The sequence below is a fragment of the Homo sapiens genome, chromosome 4 (assembly GCF_000001405.40).
Source record: "Homo sapiens chromosome 4, GRCh38.p14 Primary Assembly".
Taxonomy (NCBI): Eukaryota; Metazoa; Chordata; class Mammalia; order Primates; family Hominidae; genus Homo; species Homo sapiens.
In genome coordinates, this window is record NC_000004.12 from 120,801,003 (window position 1) to 120,823,074 (window position 22,072).

General features: G+C 37.5%; 1 protein-coding gene and 1 pseudogene across 23 annotated transcripts in view; one reads left to right on the forward strand and one right to left on the reverse strand.

Moving 5' to 3' along the window:
* Nucleotides 1-22,072, reverse strand: part of PRDM5 (PR/SET domain 5) — a 238,436-nt gene that overhangs the window by 116,712 nt on the left and 99,652 nt on the right. For 15 of the 23 annotated variants that reach the window (XR_938678.2, XR_938680.3, XR_938679.2 and 12 more), the window contains exons 4-8: nt 20,169-20,343; nt 17,351-17,525; nt 15,830-15,922; nt 15,451-15,572; nt 10,368-10,447 (exon numbers count right to left, since the gene is read on the reverse strand). Coding sequence is in view for 19 of the 23 variants with exons in the window: in XM_011531566.4 (XP_011529868.1) it covers nt 10,368-10,447; nt 15,451-15,572; nt 15,830-15,922; nt 17,351-17,525; nt 20,169-20,343 (645 nt within the window). In the remaining 4 variants the exon portion in view is untranslated. The other 8 variants (XM_047449558.1, XM_047449557.1, NM_001300824.2 and 5 more) reach the window with 2 other exon arrangements.
* Nucleotides 9,467-9,567, forward strand: RNU6-550P (RNA, U6 small nuclear 550, pseudogene; annotated as a pseudogene).

A 22,072-nucleotide genomic window follows, 5' to 3' on the forward strand; every position in this document is an offset into this window, starting at 1 on the left:
GTATTCAATTCTAAAAGAAATGTATTACATATCATATTATATTAGAAATGTTGATCATCCCAATGAACAACAGCATCACACAATGTTGTTGAATATTCAAAAATGGTTGTGGTGAAGTCATGTTTTTGTTTCAACCTCACTAAAGGTCCAGCTCACAATACTAAACCCCAGAGAAGTAAACGCCCTTGTGCAAGAAGCCAAGACAGTGTCCCTGCAGAATAACTAGGAATAACAGTGCAGAGTGAAAGATCTAGGCAAAAGTCCCTGAACTGGTACAGCACATGAGTAATGAGTGGAGGACTCGGCTGGCCCCTGATAAATGGTTCTCTTGATCTAAATGGCCATAGAAGGCTTCAAGGCAGGGAAACAGATGCAGGGGCAAGGCTGACAGATCCCAGGCCTGCAGCCCACGGCTTAATTCAATGCCCAAGCACGTGGCAGTTTGAAGGTTGCCAACCAGCCTCTGCTTCTGTCAGGTCTGACTCTTGGTGAGTCATTAAATTCAGTTATGTAAAGCAGGGAAAAAGTAGAGAAACAAGGCAGAAGCCAAAATATGTCATTCCACAAGAGTCTGACTTATCTCCCCGCTTAGATGCAATGGCATCTATGAGGGGATATCTAGAATCCAAAGAGTTCCTTTAGAAAGCATGTGGGATCTGTATGACTGCCTGCACAAGTGTTTGGAATGCTAGTGCTCCAGAGCAGACAAGAAAAACTTCCAGCCTGAGGCATGTTAAAGGCAGCCTCTTCAATCATCAAAGACTTCCACAGCGGCTTCAGTTAAACACCTATGTTTGAGGACCAATGATATGATTTGTAATGTTTATATAAAGATAGTAAGAGCAGATTTATATTCTTAAACTCTATGTTTCTGTAATATATATAATTTTATAATGACAAACAAGATACTCTAAAGAGATGTCATACCTTCTGAGTTATACATAAATGAAAACTTTTGTTATCATTTTTAATGTTTAATTTCTATTGATATATAAAATTATAAAAATTATTCATCCACATATAAAATGGAAATCGTTAAATGAAACATTGTTCATTTGTTTCATTTTTAAGTGAAATATTGTTCACTTGTTAATTCTCATGGCTTCAACATGAAACATTTTTCAAGGTTGAATTGAACTGATATTCCCAAAACTATAAAGGGAACATCGACTATATATTTAAGCATTTGTGCATTGACTATCTCATTTATAGTGAAAAATTCAAGCTAAAGCCATGTTCAAAATTCCTTAAAATGCTTAATAAAGAGGGCAGTTCCAAGATCGCTGAATAGGAACAGCTCCAGTCCACAGCTCCCAGTGTGAGCGACGCAGAAGATGGGTGATTTCTGCATTTCCAACTGAGGTACCGGGTTCATCTCACTGAGGCTTGTCGTACAGTGGGTGCAGGACAGTGGGTGCCTGACTCCCAAGTAGCCTAACTGGGAGGCATCCGCCAATAGGGGCAGACTGACACCCCACATGGCCAGGTACCCCTCTGAGACGAAACTTCCAGAGGAATGATCAGGCAGCAACATTTGCTATTCAGCAATATTCGCTGTTGTGCAGCCTCTGCTGCTGATACCCAGGCAAAGAGGGTCTGGAGTGGACCTCCAGCAAACTCCAACAGACCTGCAGTTGAGGGTCCTAACTGTTAGAAGGAAAACTAACAGACAGAAAGGATATCCACACCAAAACCCCATCTGTACGTCACCATCATCAAAGACCAAAGGTAGATAAAACTACAAAGATGGGGAAAAAAGCAGAGCAGAAAAGCTGAAAATTTTAAAAATCAGAGCGCTTCTCCCCCTCCAAAGGAACGCAGCTCCTTGCCAGCAACAGAACAAAGCTGGATGGAGAATGACTTTGACGAGTTGAGAGAAGAAGGCTTCAGACGATCAAACTTCTCCGAGCTAAAGGAAGAAGTTCAAACCCATCGCAGAGAAGCTAAAAACCTTGAAAAAAGATTAGACGAATGGCTAACTAGAATAAGCAGTGTAGGGAAGTCCTTAAATGACCTGATGGAGCAGAAAACCATGGCACAAGAACTACATGACAAATGCACAAGCTTCGGTAGCTGATTCGATCAGCTGGAAGAAAGGGTATCAGTGATTGAAGATCAAATGGATGAAATGAAGCGAGAAGGAAAGTTTAGAGAAAAAAGAATAAAAAGAAACGAACGAAGCCTCCAAGAAATATGGGACTACATGAAAAGACAAAATCTACATCTGATTGTTGTACCTGAAAGTGACAGGGAGAATGGGACCAAGACGGAAAACACTCTGCAGGATATTATCCAGGAGAACTTACCCAACCTAGCAAGGCAGGCCAACATTCAAATTCAGGAAATACAGACACACCACAAAGATACTCCTCAAGAAGAGCAACTCCAAGACACATAATCGTAAGATTCACCAAAGTTGAAATGAAGGAAAAAATGTTAAGGGCAGCCAGAGAGAAAGGTCGGGTTACCCAGAAAGGAAAGCCCATCAGACTAACAGTGGATCTCTTGGCAGAAACTCCACAAGCCAGAAGAGAGTGAGGGCCAATATCCAACATTTTAAAGAAAAGAATTTTCAACCCAGCATTTCATATCCAGCCAAACTAAGCTTCATAGGTGAAGGAGAAATAAAATACTTTACAGACAAGAAAATGCTGAGATTTTGTCACCACCAGGCCTGCCCTACAAGAGCTCCTGAAGGAAGCACTGAACATGGAAAGGAACAACCAGTACCAGCCACTGCAAAAACATGCCAAATTGTAAAGACCATCGATGCTAGGAAGAAACTGCATCAACTAACGAGCAAAATAGCAAGCTAACATCATAATGATAGGATCAAATTCACACATAACAATATTAACCTTAAATGTAAATGGGCTAAATGCTCCAATTAAAAGACACAGACTGGCAAATTGGATAGAGAGTCAACACCCATCAGTGTGCAGTATTCAGGAGACCCATCTCACGTGCAGAGTCACAAATAGGCTCAAAATAAAGGGATGGAGGAAGATCTACCAAGCAAATGGAAAACAAAAAGGCAGGGTTGCAATCCTAGTCTCTGATAAAACAGACTTTAAACCAACAAAGATCAAAAGAGAAAAAGAAAGCCATTACATAACGATAAAGGGATCAATTCAACAAGAAGAGCTAACTATCCTAAATATATATGCACCCAATACAGGAGCACCCAGTTTCATAAAGCAAGTTCTTAGAGACCTACAAAGAGATTTAGACTCCCACACAATAATAATTGGAGACTTTAACACCCAACTGACAACATTAGACAGATCAATGAGACAGAAGTTAAAAAGGATATCCAGGAATTGAACTCAGCTCTGCACCAAGCAGACCTAATAGACATCTACAGAACTCTCCACCCCAAATCAACAGAACATACATTCTTCTCAGCACCACATTGCACTTATTCCAAAATTGACCACATAGTTGGAAGTAAAGCACTCCTCAGCAAATGTAAAAGAACAGAAATTATAACAAACTATCTATCAGATCACAGTGCAATCAAACTAGAACTCAGCATTAAGAAACTCACTCAAAACCACTCAACTACATGGAAACTGAACAACCTGCTCCTGAATGATTACTGGGTACATAACAAAATGAAGGCAGAAATAAAGATGTTCTTTGAAACCAAAGAGAACAAAGACACAACATACCAGAATCTCTGGGACACATTTAAAGTAGTGTGTAGAGGGAAATTTATAGCATTAAATGCCCACAAGAGAAAGCAGGAAAGATCTAAAATTGACACCCTAACTTCACAATTAAAAGAACTAGAGAAGCAAGAACAAACACATCCAAAAGCTAGCAGAAGGCAAGAAATAACTAAGACCAGAGCAGAACTGGAGGAAACAGAGACACAAAAAACCCTTCAAAAAATCAATGAATCCAGGAGCTGGTTTTTTGAGAAGATCAACAAAATTAATAGACCGCTAGCAAGACTAATAAAGAAGAAAAGAGAGAAGAATCAAATAGATGCAATCAAAAATGATAAAGGGGATATCACCACCAATCCCACAGAAATACGAACTACCATCAGATAATACTATCAACGCCTCTACGCAAATAAACTAGAAAATCTAGAAGAAATGGATACATTCCTCGACACATACACCCTCCCAAGACTAAAGCAGGAAAAAGGTGAATCCCTGAATAGACCAATAACAGGCTCTGAAATTGAGGCAATAATTAATAGCCTACCAACCAAAAAAAGTCCAAGACCAGACGGATTCACAGCCGAATTCTACCAGAGGTACAAGGAGGAGCTGGTACCATTTCTTCTGAAACTATTCCAATCAATAGAAAAAGAGGGAATCCTCCCTAACTCATTTTGTGAGGCCAGCATCATCCTGATACGAAAGCCTGGCAGAGACAGAATAAAAAAAGAGAATTTTGGACCAATATCCCTGAAGAACATCGATGCAAAAATCCTCGATAAAATACTGGCAAATCAAATCCAGCAGCACATCAAAAAGCTTATCCACCATGATCAAGTGGGCTTCATTCCTGGGATGCAAGTCTGGTTCAACATACACAAATCAAAAAATGTAATCCAGTATATAAACAGAATCAAAGACAAAAACCGCATGATTATCTCAATAGATACAGAAAAGGCCTTTGACAAAATTCAATAGCCCTTCATGCTAAAAACTCTCAATAAACTAGGTACTGATGGGACATATCTCAAAATAATAAGAGCTACTTATGATAAACACACAGCCAATATCATACTGAGTGGGCAAAAACTGGAAGCATTCCCTTTGTAAATTGGCATAAGACAGGGATGCCCTCTCTCACCACTCCTATTCAACATAGTGTTGGAAATTCTGGCCAGGGCAATCAGGCAGGAGAAAAAAATAAAGGGTATTCAATTAGGAAAAGAGGAAGTCAAATTGTCCGTTTGCAGATGACATGACTGTATATCTAGAAAACCCCATCATCTCAGTCCAAAATCTCCTTAAGCTAATAAGCAACTTCAGCAGTCTCAGGATACAAAATCAAAGTGCAAAAATCACAAGCATTCTTATACACCAATAACAGAAAAACAGAGAGCCAAATCATGAGTGAACTCCCATTCACAATTGCTTCAAAGAGAATAAAATACCTAGGAATCCAACTTACAAGGGATGTGAAGGACCTCTTCAAGGAGAAGCACAAACCACTGCTCAGTGAAATAAAAGAGGACACAAACAAATGGAAGAACGTTCCATGCTCACGGATAGGAAGAATCAATATTGTGAAAATGGCCATACTGCCCAAGGTAATTTCTAGATTCAATGCCATCCCTATCAAGCTACTAATGACTTTCTTCACAGAATTGGAAAAAACTACGTGAAAGTTCCTATGGAACTAAAACAAAGCCCACATTGCCAAGACAATGCTAAGCAAAAAGAACAAAGCTGGAGGCATCACCCTACCTGACTTCAAACTATACTACAAGGCTACAGTAACCAAAACAGCATGGCACTGGTACAAAAACAGATCTATAGACCAATGGAACAGAACAGAGGCCTCAGAAATAATACCACACATCTACAACCATCTGATTTTTGACAAACCTGACAAAGACAAGAAATGGGGAAAGGATTCCCTATTTAATAAATGGTGCTGGGAAAACTGGCTAGCCATAGGTAGAAAGCTGAAACTGGATCCCTTCCTTACACCCTATACAAAAATTAATTCAAGATGGATTAAAGACTTAAATGTTAGACCTAAAACCATAAAAACCCTAGAAGAAAACCTAGACAATACCATTCAGGACATAGGCATGGGCAAGGACTTCATCTCTAAAACACCAAAAGCAATGGCAACAAAAGCCAAAATTGACAAATGGGATCTAATTAAACTAAAGAGCTTCTGCACAGCAAAAGAAACTACCATCAGAGCGAACAGGCAACCTACAGAATGGGAGAAAATTTTTGCAATCTACTCATCTGACAAAGGGCTAATATCCAGAATCTACAAAGAATTCAAACAAAGTTACAAGAAAAAAAACAAACAACCCCATCAAAAAGTGGGTGAAGGACATAACAGACACTTCTCAAAAGAAGAGATTTATGTAGCCAACAGACACATGAAAAAATGCTCATCATCACTGGCCATCAGAGAAATGCAAATCACAACCACAATGAGATACCATCTCACACCAGTTAGAATGGCAATCACTAAAAAGTCAGAGAACAACAGGTGCTGGAGAGGATGTGGAGAAATAGGAACACTTTCACACTGTTGGTGGGACTGTAAATTAGTTCAACCATTGTGGAAGACAGTGTAGTGATTCCTCCGGGAGCTAGAACTAGAAATACCATTTGACCCAGCCATATATGGGTATATACCATTACTGGGTTATACCCAAAGGAATATAAATCATGCTGCTATAAAGACACATGCACACGTATGTTTATTGCAACACTATTCACAATAGCAAAGACATGGAACCAACCCAAATGTCCATCAATGACAGACTGGATTAAGAAAATGTGGCACACATACACCATGGAATACTACACAGCCCATAAAAAAGGATGAGTTCATGTCCTTTGTAGGGACATGGATGAAGCTGGAAACCATCACTGTCAGCAAACTATGTGTCCGGAATTGGTGGGTTCTTGGTCTCACTGACTTCAAGAATGAAGCCGCAGACCCTCACAGTGAGTGTTACAGTTCTTAAAGGCGGTGTGTCCGGAGTTTGTTCCTTCTGAGGTTCGGATGTGTTTGGAGTTTCTTCCTTCTGGTGGGTTCATGGTCTCGCTGGCTTCAGGAGTGAAGCTGCAGACTTTCACGGTGAGTGTTACAGTTCTTAAAGGTGGTGTGTCCGGAGTTTGTTCCTTCTGAGGTTCAGATGTGTTTGGAGTTTCTTCCTTCTGGTGGGTTCATGGTCTCGCTGGCTTCAGAAGTGAAGCTGCAGACCTTCGCGGTGAGTGTTACAGTTCTTAAAGGCGGCACATCTGGAGTTGTTTGCTCCTCCCGGTGGGTTCACGGTCTCACTGGCCTCAGGAGAGAAGCTGCAGACCTTTGCAGTGAGTGTTACAGCTCATAAAGGCAGTGTGGACCCAAAGAGTGAGCAGCAGCAAGACTTATTGCAAAGAGCAAAAGAACAAAGCTTCCACAGTGTGGAAGGGGACCTGAGCGGGTTGCCACTGCTGGCTGGGGCAGCCTGCTTTTATTCTCTTATCTGGCCCTACCCACATCCTGCTGATTGGTCCATTTTACAGAGAGCTGATTGGTCCGTTTTGACAGGGTGCTGATTGGTGCATTCACAATCCCTGAGCTAGAGACAACAGTTCTCCACCTCCCCACTAGATTAGCTAGATACAGAGTGTGGACACAAAAGTTCTCCACGTCCCCATTAGCTAGATACAGAGTGTTGATTGGTGCATTCACAAACCCTGAGCTAGACACAGGGTGCTGATTGGTGTGTTTATAAACCTTGAACTAGATACAGAGTACCAATTGGTGTATTTACAATCCCTTAGCTAGACATAAAGGTTCTCCAAGTCCCCACCAGACTCAGGAGCCCAGCTGGCTTCACCCAGTGGATCCTACACTGGGGTCACAGGTGGAGCTGCCTGCCAGTCCCGCGCTGTGTGCCCACACTCCTCAGCCCTTGGGTGGTCGATGGGACCAGGCACCATGGAGCAGGGGGAGGCACTCCTCCTGAGAGGCTCGGGCTGCACAGGAGCCCACGGCAATGGGGAGGCTCAGGCACGGTGGGCTGCAGGTCCCGTGCCCTCCCCTACAGGGAGGTAGCTAAGGCCCTGTGAGAAATTGAGCACAGCAGCTGCTGGCCCAGGTGCTAAGTCCCTCACTGCCCAGGGTTTGCGGGCTGGCCGGCTGCTTCAAGTGAGGGGCCCACCTAGCCCACGCCCACCTGGAACTCACGCTGGCCCGCAAGCGCCGCAGGCAGCCCCGGTTCCCGCCTGGCCCTCTCCCTCCACACCTCCTGGCAAGCTGAGGGAGCCGGCTCCGGCCTTGTCCAGCCCAGAAGGGGGCTCCCACAGTGCAGCAGTGGGCTGAAAGGCTCCTCAAGCATGGCCAGAGCGGGCGCCAAGGGCCGAGGAGGCATCAAGATGGAGCGAAGGCTGCGAGGGCTGCCAGCACACTGTCACCTCTCATTATCGCAAGGACAAAAAGCCAAACACTGCATGTTCTCACTCATAGGTGGGAACTGAAAAATGAGAACACTTGGACACAGGGTGGGGAACATCACACACCAGGGCCTGTCGTGGGGTGAGGGGAGGGGGGAGGGATAGCATTAGGAGATATACCTAATGTAAATGACAAGTCAATGGGTGCAGCACAACAACATGGCCCATGTATACCTATGTAACAAACCTGCACGTTGTGCACATGTTCCCTAGAACTTAAAGTATAATAAAAAAATACTTTTAAAAAAAACAAAAAAATGCTTAATAAAAAGATCATATTTAAAGTGAAAATGACAAGTAATACTATTTAATTATGCCAAATGCTAAATAAAGTATATTTTTATGAGATTTTATAAAATTTACAGTGTACCAAATTAATTTGGAGGGTAATATTTTAAAATTTGAACTCCCAAATTATTTTCAAGAAGAATCATAATATACCTTATCATTATAGGAGATAATAAATAGTAATTTAAGATACTAGACTATAGTATAATTTGGCATTGTCATATAGCATCATCTACTGGCAAGGTGAAATACTGCAACCTAACTCTATTAGACATTAGACATTCTCAACTATAGGAAAAGTTCCAATTGGAGTCAATAAAAGTTGACTATGGATTCGGAAAGGCTGAATAGTGAAGGACTATGGCTGAAATGGAGGAAGGGCTGCATTGAGCTAGCAACTTATTAACATTCTGCAAAGACCACTCAGGAGGCATGAGTTATAGTTTCTGTATTCCATTACCATCACATAGGAGTGTCTGATGCCTGATGATCTGTCACTGTCTCCCATCACCCCCAGATGGGACTGTCTAGCTACAAGAGAACAGGCTCAGGGCTCTCACTGATTCTATATTATGGTGAGTTTTATAAATATTTCATTATACATTTTAATGTAATAATAATAGAAATAAAGTACACAATAAATGTAATGTGCTTGAATCATCCTAAAACCTCCTCCCCCACCCCCTGGTCCTTGGAAAACTTGTCTTCCAGGAAAACGGTCCCTAGTACCAAGAAGGTTGGGAACCATTGCTCTATTTGGTAAAATAGCTTAAATTTCAACCTCTAAGATTTAAATGGGTCAGAAAAATAAATCATAGAATTATAAAAGAGGATGCTTAGAAGAGATCTATTCCAGTAGACTTAATTGTTTTGTCTCTGCAGAAGATGAACTGCTTCAGCCATAAGGGTTCTGCTTCAGAAGCCATAAGGGTGAGGGGGAAGGAGGAAAAAAGACCTATAAAAGGGTCCTCTGGATTGGCATTCTGCATAAAATTTTTCCTTTAAAAGTAATCTCAGTGCTCATTTTAGCAGCACCGAAATTGGAATGTAACAAAGAAGATTAGCATGGCCTCTGCACAAGGAGGACACACAAATTCATAAAGCATTCCATATCTCTAAACAATCTAATAAGACTGCCACTTGAAAACTGAAAACCAAAAAAAAAAAGTAGTTTCATGGTACATAGAGAACAAACAAACAAGAGAATACTGATCAATTCAGTGTCCCATTTTATAAATGGGAGAAGAAAGGCCTAATGTTACATGGAAGGTTAGTGATAGAAAAAGAAACCCACTACCCTGATTCCTGGTCTGGTGCTTGTCCTATTATTTCTCCTTAAGTATCAAAATCACTAAACATACAAGATATAACCTCAGACATATCAACACAATAATTTAGCTGCCTCACATGTTATAAGTTAAACCCACAGCACATGGTTGGAGCTACTGGATTAAAAATCATATAAATTTTAAGTCCTGTCAAATTACTTTGTAATACATCTATATATAAACAGAAACAAAAATTCATTTTACAAACCATAACAAAAGTAAAATTTTATTTTCACGAATACCATCTCCTTCTCTTTTGTAAAGAAAATATCTCATGCTCATAGCTATGCTAAAAGAAACAATATGTGAAATTAACAATGATCATTTACATCTTTGTTATAATAATAAAATATAGTATGAATATATTGGACCTTGTCATAACAAGAGCAAAAATTAAAACTCCATTAATTCTATTTTATTACAAATTATATTAAATAGTTGCTAATGTTGTTAGAGTTAATAATTGCCATTGATTTTTCAGATTATCTTTTCACATCAAAATAACTTGGTAACTTTTATACTTACTATAAAACATATTAAAATTATTAAAGATAGATATTAAACTGTGATGAATTTTTATCTTACTGACCTTTCTATGTTCCTGTAGGCTTGATGCTGAAGAACACTTTTTATTGCACACTGAACATATAAGCTTTTTCTTAGGATCTCCTAAAATAGAAATAAAATACCATGATGATTTAAATGAGACTATTAAGAGGAAAAACAAATAGTGTTTCGAGGTGATATGTAAGTTCATCTTCATAATTTAGAATTCTAAACAATTCAGTGTTGTAGATATATTCATTAAACTTAAAGAGTAAGTTATATTTTAAATCTTTTTAATTATTTTTAATTAGAGAAAAGACATACAAATTAATTAACATGTATATAGGGGAGCCTTCAGAATAAAGACCCAAGCTCCCAAGAGAATGCAGAAGCTTATATACCTTTTCATAATTTTTATTATTATGGGTACATAATAGGTGTTATGTATTTTTCGGGTACATGTGATGTTTCAATATAGGCATGCAATGTGTAATAATCACATCAGGGTAATTGGGGTACCTATCACCTCAAGCATCTATCATTTGTGTTAGAAACATTCCAATTCTATTCTTTTATTTTTAAATATACAATAAGTTATGTTGACTATAGTCACCCTGTTGTGCTATCAAATAATAGATCGTATTCATTATAACTATATTTTTACACCTATTAACTATCCCATTTTATTCACCCCCTCCCCGCTACCCTTCCCAGCCTCTGGTAACCATCATTCTATTCTCTATCTTCATGAGTTTAATAGTTTTAATTTTAGCTTCCATATATAAGTGAGCACATGTGAAATTTGTGCAGCTGTGCCTGGCTTACTTCACTTAAGAAAATTACCTTTACCCATTCTCTCATTGATGGACACTTAGGTTGATTCCAAATATTGGCTATTGTGAATAGTGCTGCAATAAACATGGGAGTGCAGATATCTCTTCAATATACTGATTTCCTTTCACTGGGGTATATATCTACAGTGGAATTGCTAGCTCTATCTTCAGTCTTTTGAGTAACCACCATACCATTACCCAAAGAGGCTGTACTAATTTGCATTCCCACCAACAGTGTACAAGCATTCCCCTTTCTCCACATCCTCTCCAGCATTCGTTATTCCGTCTTTTGGATAGAAGCCATTTTAACTAGGGTGAGATGATATCTCACTGTAGTTTTGATTTGCATTTTTTTCTGATGATTAATTTTGCTGAACATTTTTTCATATACCTGTTGGCCATTTGTCTTCTTTTGAAAAATGTCTATTCAGATATTTTCTTCATGTTTTCATTAGATTATTTGATTTTTTTCCTATTGAGTTGTTTGAGCACTTTATATATTCTGGTTATTAATCACTTGTCAGATGGGTAGTTTGCAAATATTTTCTCCCATTCTGTGTAAATGCTTTCTTTTTAAATTTGAGACATCTTCACAGCTTCATATACCACCTTTCTCATATATAAAACAGGCCTTTCACTTTTCCATGTACTAATACTGTATAGTATTAAAAGAGAAAGTGATATATCCACAAGGAATTCAAAGCAAAATTAAAATTAACCAAATGTGTTTGTAAAAGAAAAAACTAAATTTATTAATTCATAAAGTGATTGTGTTAATTCTTTTACATTTCAACAGAATATTTTATTTAATCAGCTGGGTTTTTTAAGATAGAATTTATAGATTATTCTTTCCAGCACTAGAGTTTTATAAAATCTTTAAGTATATGCTTATCAAGTTAACATTAAGAAATAAAGTACAATAAAACAATATATTGGCAATTCATACTATTACTCAAAGCCAGATTCTGTCTTCTTATGTAGTGATTATGTTTACAGTAGCTCATTTCATATTTCAAATTTCACAGTTGTTATAGAAATGAAGAGGCAATCAAACATTATTAAATGTGATATAATAATATCAAATGCACCACAATGAATAACCATAAAATATGTTTTCAACTTTTAATTGGTTTATTTCAAATATACAAAAAGTAAGCATATAGTATAATGAATCACCATCTATCCATCACCTGGCCCCAACAATGACTCACCATGACCATTCCTGCCTCAACCTCAATCCCATCCACTCTCCCACTTCTCTATATTTTGAAGCAAATCTAAAACAAGTAAAATCAATATTACAAAATGATTTCGTTTTATTATAGGACTGCATTTATGAAAGAAATATACTTTCAAATGGCAAATATGAATTTTTGTCTTATTATTCAAGATGCCTATTCCATTTAATGCACTGTTTTTAGCAGGCTAAATATGATAGCCAAGAAAATGCTTCTCAGTGATTGAAAAGTAACATGGCTACTAAAGGAGAAAATTCTCCCAGGCAAAATGAATATCTGATAGCATATATTTGGTCATCAATTTCCTAAACATATCATACCTGAGGCACCATTCAGAAAGAATATTCCCTCTTTTCCAGGTCCTACTAGTTGGGATGGTCCATCTTCCACCAATAATCCTTTATTGCCCTGTCCTAGCCCTCATAGCAACTACTCCTTGATACTAGGCCCTACTCCTTCCCACTGGATGGGTCCGAGGAGGAGAGAGGAGAGAAAGAAACAGATTTCTCCACCCACCACTCTCACTTTACCCCTGCACTCCTGCCACAACTCTGCCTGCAGGTATCAAAGGGTATACATCAAACCCTCATCCCCAATCTTCAGTCTTCTCTCTCCTTTTCATGGCTTCTCCTCTTTTTCACCCTAGAAGAATCCTAGCTCCTCTGAGAAGACACACAGGAAAAATGTATGACTATTCATCTGAGAATGTAGATAAATGTTATCTCCCATTAATGCAAAGTCTCTTTGTCAGCAACCATGGAATCTAAGCAAAAGGGAAAGATGGGAAGTGACGGAGGAGCTTAGCCCCTTCACTCTGTTCCCTCTTAAGTAACTGTGAGGAGCCTCACCACTCTACCAGCTCCCCTAGGCTCATGGATAACAGCACCTGCAAAGCCATAACTAGATGTTATACTGTCTTAACTTTCCTATTTAGGTAAATCTGATATTTGACTTTCAGATTTAAACTTTCAAAAACATTTAGGAACACATTACTTATACCAGTAGGCCATGTGAGGAAATTAATACAACTGTACTGAATACACAATCACTTAAGTACTCAACTTTCAACACGCTGTGAGCTAAGTATGCTTCTAGGAGCTGGTCTGAGAACCTACCTACCCATGTTATGGTTGCTATGGAAAAATGTGATCCATATTGAAAAATTCAGCTTCTCTCTAATCATCATCCTCAATTCATATCACCTTAACAAAAAAACATTTGCCATCAAAGATCTCTTTCTTTGAGTGCCTTTGCCTTTCTATAATAAAGGATTCTACAACCATGTATATGAGAGCTGCTTTGCTTGCTATCTCCAATAGGGAATATTCTTTCCTCCAATGCCTGTGCAGCCCATGGAGGAAAGGGGAGAAGCAAGAGACATACTGTGAATGAGAGAATGACATCATGTACCAACCCCAGCAAAACATATGGCATAGTAACCGTTAGCTAAAATACAGCAAGATTTTACACTTTATATGGTCCACAAATTAAAAAATATATATAAAACAAGATTTCCTTTTATGAATTATTTCCTACAAAATCACCATAAATTTCCAGAATTAATAATATTACAATATGCAAGGCCAACTACAAGAAGCCTCAAAGACATTGTGCTTATAGCACAGCCTGAAGACAACATGCCCAGTAATAAGAATGCAAGTCTCCAGAGTTTCGTATGCATCTGGTTTTTTACTTAGTTCAGCAAACTTAAGCTTTAAAACTGACATGAAAGTTCTATTACAATATATTGCAGACATAGATGAAGAAAATTAAGAATAGCATTTTAACTAGAACAGCATTGAAAATCAAAAAACTACGAAGGCAAGTCTATCAAAAAGTTATGCTTGCCTTTTGCAATCATAGGGAAGACCCCAGTATACTGAATTCAGAAAAAAATCCATCTTCCCTAAGTCAGCTGTGTATTCTTCAAAAGGAAAGAAAGAAACCAGAACACTGTAAAAGCCTAGTGAAGGGCACCAAGCTGGAGGTGCATTTCACAAGGCCCTACTTCCACCACACAGAGCTTTCACCATAGGTTGCACTTAATATGCAGCCCAAACCAATGATGCAAAGTCGCAGCTAGCAGTTGTTCACGCTAGCCTCTATAACTGTATTATTATTAAAGTGAATACTTTTTGGACAATGAACAAATACAGGATACAGATGCTGGGTGCAGATTATCATCTTCTCCTGAATATAAGAATAAACAACTGAAGGGAGAAAAGAAATCCACTTTCCCCCACATCCAGAGACACATAGCCACCCATTTCCCAGAAGTCAAGGGCAAAAATAAACACATGAACAAAGAATATGAAGAGAAGAACACACAGGGTTTCATAAATCTCAACCTCCTTTAAGGAGGAAGTCTTTGGAGGTAAAAAGACAAGAAGTAAAAAGTTAACTGAGACAATACAGCCATCTGTTCAACTCACTGCAATAGATTTAATCCCTAAGCCAAAATATATTTACTGACAGTATACCATGTGCTAAGCAGATAAACCCAAAAGACAGTCAAATTTTATATTTGTTTTATTGTTTAGCTAGCTATCAGATGGAATTCAAATAATATTTGTTTTGTTAATCCATACATATTCAATTCCAATGTCAAAATGTGTTAGCAATTTTCTCTAACTTAGGAGAACTGTATTTTCACAAGTTGGATTTTTACTGTAAAAATAATAAGGCAGAAGGACATCACTTAATAATGATAAATTTTAACAATTTATAAAAGAAATGTCACATGCCAAAACATTTAAAATTGTTACTTAAAAATATTAATTCTTAATGCATCTGACCACCCAAACATAACTAGACTTTAACTAAGGCTTACAGTTATAATTAATTCAGGAATGGGAAAAAGAACAAATGCTGCTAAATTCAACCTGAGAAAGAAATAGTGTTCAGTGAAAGAAAAAAATCCACTGCCAGCGCTCCACATCTGTGTGAAACACAATGGAAAAGCCAGCTCTCTCCTCAAGAGCGAGAATTAAAAACAGATCGCTGCAGCCTGGGGAAAGGAAGCCCCTTCGGAAACGACCCTCCAACGACTCCTCACCAGTGTGGACATTTTCCTGGTGTCTTTTCAGGGCATCCTTGCTCTTCAGCCTCTTTCCACAGCTGTCAGCCTTGCACACAAACCTGGCATCCCCCCGGCAAGTCTCCTGGTGCTGCTCAAAACTACAAGACAACCAGCAAAGCGGAACAGGAAGAAATGGTGAAGACATACCTACAAAACTCAAACATCAGCAAGATTTTGTAATACATGCTCCCTAGTAGAGTTTCGGGGTCATTCCATGCATTACCTATGCAGGTAAGAAGAAAAGCATTTAAATTCTGTAGGTATGTGAAACTGAATTACTAAGAAGCATGAAAGTATGCATGCAAAAAATGACCCACAATTATATAACAGCCATTTCATAACTCAGACACAAAACCTCGATGCTGAACTGAAGGAAGAATTGCAAACAGAGCACTGAAAACTTCGCGAAGACTCCTTTAGACTGCTTTTCGCTGTGCACTGAAGAACACTAAAGGGAAATAGGAAAAAGAGAAAGAAAAGAAAACAAAAACTGGAACTCTAAGACAAAAATGAAACTACACTAACTCTGAATAAAGTCATGTTCGTGATCCCTTTTTTCATTGTCTTTTGCCTTTTTAAATTTTTAGCAGTACCTTAACTATAAGCTCTTGCTCAGCAGTGTCTTTTGTATAAATATATAATACTAAATGCAATAAAAGCTAACCAGAATGCAACTTAACATCTATTTATTTAAAAGCATATAGTCCTTGCTTGTTTTTTAAGGAAGTACAATAGAATTTCTAAATATGTAGTATCCTGCTATTATAAAAGTTTTGATATTCTGAACATTTATTAAGTTTTAAGCACAATTTTCATCTCAATTTTTATAAGCAAAAGTTGATGCATATAATAATATTCATACAGTCTTAGTATGAAATGTAGCATATTTCAGAATTTTAGTTCAATGAAACACAAAAATGTAAAAATGTAACATTAAAGCCTATGTTAAAGATTTCTTGCTCATAAGTAAGGTAACATTCTGTTAAAATGAGAAGCTAAGGTTGGAGAAAGAAAGTAAATGGCAGGATGGGAGCACATAAGAGAAGAGATATGTTGATGAGATGGGACAATTTACATTACTTTCATATTGGAAGTAATTGGCTTCAACACAATGAGAGTCTACAGTTGCATCCAATATGTAAATATGCTTTTAAATTACTTAAATTCAATTATCTGATTAAAATTACAAACTTTAATGAGTAAAAAAATAAAACTTTACAAATGCATATACCTACTTTCTCACTTTTAACAATTTCTGATCCTGTAAAATATTTAAATAAAGATAATTTTATGTTGTTAATATAAATTGTTAAAATAAAAAAGGGTACAGAGCTATGTGTGGGATCATCTAATTAATCATATTGTTATAACTGGGACCTATGCATCTTTAAATTATTCCTCCAAAGTTGCTCTCAAATAAACAGTGCTTCCCAAAATGTCCAGGAATTCTTTATACTTTGAACTCCCCATTTCTTAAACTTTTTTTTAAACAGATTCCAGAAGGAATATAAAACGTAGACAACTAAAAGTCTGTTACCTCAAAGGAGTAACTAAAGTAGGCATATCTGAATTTCAGATTAAACCAGTAAGCTTGATACATAATGGCAAATTAATAAATGGACAAAAACTAATTACCATAAACAGTGTTTATGTGTTAAAATCCATAATTTGAATATTTTAATAATCAACATACTATACTAAGAAAAGATGAGTTAATGACAATACCAATGTAAAATGCTTAATCTCTCATTCACACACAAAACATGCGCGTGCGCGCGTGCACACACACACACACAGGTTAAAAACTATGAGTTAAGCTGAATGGAATAAACTGTGTTAGCTTATAATTTTAAAGATATTTCTTTAATATACGCACTGTCTTTGCAAAGCCTGCTTAACTGGGAATTTCTTCCCACAGTTCTTGCACTTAAATTCTTTCTCCTCTGTGGGTTTCTGGTGCAATGTCTGGAGATGCTCAGCAAGAATATCCTCACTGGTAAAACTCGATTCACATTGAGGACAAGCATAGTCCTCTTTACAGCCAAGGCGATCTGCACATTCACAAGGAAACATATTCATGAGACAAAAATTCAGAGCCAAGAAATGCTCAGTTTTGCTCTCATTTTAAATTAATTAATTAATTGTGCTTAATGATACCATATGAATAAATTCTTATTATCACTATAAATATTAATAGTATTTGGCCACAAAAAAATAATAGCAAGTGTTACTAGAGAGAAATACATTATTTTCAAAATCACTTGTATTTCACCAAATTAATACAAAGTCAAATTCCTTATTTAATTCATCCTATAATGTTAACTTTTCAGATCAAAATGTTAAATTAGAAAACAAAAGCTATTCCTGAAATTGGTCATTTTTAGCTCATTTTTACCTTCACAAGGAGAAAAATCCAACTGATGCAAACTATATTGAATTACCAAGGAGAATCTCACATACATGTGAAAAAAGACCAAGGTCATAAAAACAGTGCTGATTAAGCTAGTAGAGTGAATTATGCTACACGGTCCCATATAGACTGGTGCAGGTCTGACCAAATTTCTCAGCGTGCTATTTAAATTACACATTTGTTTCTGATTATAAAATAAAATTAGACTTAGAAAATGCAGAAAATAAAAAACACCAATAATCCCATCAGGAAGAGACAACTGTCATAATATTACTGGCAAGCCTGACTTGCCTTTAGTGCATACATATTTTATGCGCAGTCTAAGAAGAGGTAAATTTGGGATCATACTTTATATACAATTTTATATGTTTTCCCATTTAACATCTTCTCAAGTCAAATGTTGGCATATTTTTAAACTTAAAGTACCACAATTTATTTAACCAAACTCTTCATTGTTAGACATTTGGGTGGCTTGTTTCTTTTGCTGTTTGTTTTTATTTTGTTTCTTTGCTTTTCTAAATAAAACTAAGAATTCTAAAATAAAAATAGCCATGGCACATGGCACATGGCACATGTATACATATGTAACAAACCTGCACATTGTGCACATGTACCCTAAAACTTAAAGTATAATAATAATAAAATAAAATTTTAAAAAAACCAAAATAGCCACAATGCAAGTGCTTGGTTCATGTGTTTAAAAAATTCTGTTTAAGTTTCTGTTGATTCTTTTTACAAAGATAATGAAAACTGGTATTTTAATAACTAAAGCAGAAATCAGGGCAGTAATAGGTAAGTAGATTACTTATTTTTAAATTAAAATAATGGATAAAATAACTTGCCCTGGGGACAACAGGGAAAAAATAAAATACAAAAACAAAGAAAACACAGAATAACACAGAAATAATTCCCATCACCCAAAATATGATATTCCAAATAGCATAATGCATATAAGCCTGTCCTTATCTTCCCCTTAAATAATTCAACTAAAATAAAGAAACAGAAGCATAAGCTGGCAATGGTGACAGAATGTTCACACTTTCTCAGCCAATAACATGCAGTTAGAACAGAAAAAGTACAGGAAAAGCATACTACCACTTTGACTAATGAAACCAGTATCACTTCTGAAGTGGCTTTGCTACACAAAATGGAAAAGTACTGTATAGTAAGTATCAGCCTGCTATGGTCTGAATGTTCGTGAATCCCCAAAATTCATACGTTGAAACTGAAACCGCAATGGAATTGTATTAAGAGGTGGGCCCTTTAGGAGATGATTAGGTTATGAGCACTGTGTCCTCATGTATGGGCTTAATGCCCTTGTAAAAGAAGCCCAAGAGAGCTTGCTTGTCCCTTCTGTCACATGAGGACACAGCTAGAAGGTGCTATCTAATTAGAAACGGGCCCTCACCAGACACCAAATCTGCTGGCACCTTGATAGACTTCCTAGGCTCCAGAAACGTAAGCAATAAATTTCTGCTGCTTACCAAGTATCTAGTCTAAAGTATTTTGTTATAACAGCCTGAAAGGATAAAGACGAGGCCTATTACAAAATGTGAATACCTATAGCATCATTCATATATCCCTTAAATTTCCCTTAGGAGTAAAACACAACATAATAGAAACAAGGCCAATAATAATTGATTATTCCCTGGCAGTTAACAAGCAAGTGGCTGCAGTATTGACTGAGGAAGGTCTGACCTACGGTCACTGAAAGTTTTTGGTAACCACACTAGGGCAACCTAGCAATCCTCCAGGCTTCTGTGATCAGAACAGAAAGAGATGCCAAGAAGCTGCAGGTTCCCAAAAGATCCCAAACAAGAGGAATCAATCCCCTTCGGATCCAGCAGGCTCTCTTGTGTACCTCACCTCCACTCTCACCTTTTCCTATATGCAGATGAGAAAGTAAAGTCTCAGAAAGTCAGCAACTTGCCCAACGTTACAAGACTGATTAGTGGCAGAGCTATGGCAAGACTATAAAAATCCTCACTACTCATTACCCCAATGCGCCAGTGAGAGCAGTGAGAGCCGGGAGCTGCCCTAGCAATGCAGCCCTGCCTGCGGCCTAGGCAGTCCTATAGGGTACATCCATCACCCACTCCCAAAATACTTTTCCTGCTGTAACAAAGATGAGTCCACCACAGGATACCCTCGAGAATAATTTTGACAAAAACTAACTTTATTTGAGAATGCCATATTACAAGGCAACTATAATTCAACCACAGTTTAAACTACACTTTTTTCTACAACTTTTCTTCTCCCAGATCACCAATTAAAGATGCAATACCTTTTCTGCCCGCTGTTGATTGTCTTCTAGAATTTTCAACTTCCCCTTCTTTGATGACTGTCATAATTTGCTGTTCTTCCTCCTCAGCCTCCATGTCACTATCCAGGTAGCCAATCAGAAGCTCCGTGTCTGTTTCTATATCTTCAACTGCCAAATAGAAAATGTTTTCTCCTTCCTGAAACAAATTTTTTTAAATGCTGAACCATTCATTTGTTTCTGATAGTAATTAAGAAATAATTTTAAGATACATTAATGGAGTACTATGTGTGCATGAAAAGTTATTACTTTTTTTTATTTCTAGTTGATCTGGGTGCTGAAAAAGGCAGGTGACAATATTCAGTTACCTGGCAAATAAAATACAAATACATATGACAAAAAGTGACATTTACACATGTCAAATGAAATTATGTTCAATTTTTAAAGTGAATTTTGCATCACTAACTGGCCTTATGCAAGCAACACTTTGTGGTGGCCTATAAATGTAGTTGTCATGCAACAGTGTCATTCACACATGCAGACAGAGAGCAATGAGATATCAATGATTTCGTTATTATTAACACTAACACAAAACTTAAAAAAAAAAAAAGCCTTTCAAGTTCTAACACAAACCAGAGGAAGTGCAAATAAGTTCGTCCCCTGAAAGAATTTACTGAAACCTGGTCCCGAAATAGAAAAAATACTAGACATCTGGGAAGTTCAAGGTGTTGATGGAGCCATCATGTGTACCTCACCTCTTTGGTCTCTAAATCCCACAGAAATGACAGACACGAGAAAAAGAAAAAAAAAAAAAACAAGGTCCACCATCAACATATCAAGATATTTTAGAAAGTCCTGGAAAACAGAAATCAGACATAGTCGAAATAATAGATAACTAATGCAGAGGAAACCTCGACCAATAACAGACACAGAAGAGGAATGCTACAAAGAACCTTCTTTCCAAGGAAACCCCAGAGAAACTTCACACTTGGAATCAACTGATACAAAAGCCATGCTGGGCCTTGGGCCAATCACCAGGGAAGCCAGAACTGAAGCTGTAAAGCGGGCTGTCCCCAGGAGAAAGCACCCAGAATTGCTCTCTTTTACATAGTTAAGGATTTGTTCTGGGAGGGTTCCTAGTGAGGCTGCTGAATATAAAGAAAAGCAAAACAGAGACTGAATTTATTGAACCTTCATAGTGGCAAAGGCAGGAAAGGACAAAGAAAGTAAGGTCCACCAATGAATGAAATTCAATAAAGCACAGAGCACAGAACAAAGCCTTCTCTTCTTTGGCAATATCATAGCACTTATGTTTAAAAGCAGGAGGAGGAAGACAAAGGAGAAGATGTGAGAGGGGAAGGAATAGGAGAGAGGGGAGGAAGGAGAGTGTATGCATGCATAGATTTATGTATATATGTAAACACAATTAGAACCTTCATGAAAAATTGCAAAGACATGCATCAAATTGTACATACAGTTATTTTGAGGATGGGAGAGGGGCTATATTCAACATTGTCTTAGTTTGGGAGGGCTTTTTTGAATAATAAGCATGACTACTTTGTAATTTTAAAACAATATATATTAGAAAATTTCATGGAAGAGACAGAAATTATGATCATATGCATCCAATCCTATGGAAGGAAGGCTTGATTCAAAAGTTCAAAGCACTGAAGCAAATCTAATCATGTGCTACACTTAATGTATAGACATTCCTATAACATTTTGAACACTCTTGGAAGTTTTTAAATTTTATATATCCAAAAACATTAAAAAGGTTATTTCTAATTAAGATCACTGAATTAACTTATATACTATTGGTATTCTTAGTGCAACAAAAGCAAACAAGCAAAAAATATATAGACACTAAGCAAGAGGTCTCTTTAACTCAAAAGCAGCATTTTCCAGGTCTTTATTAGATGAGTTTTTAA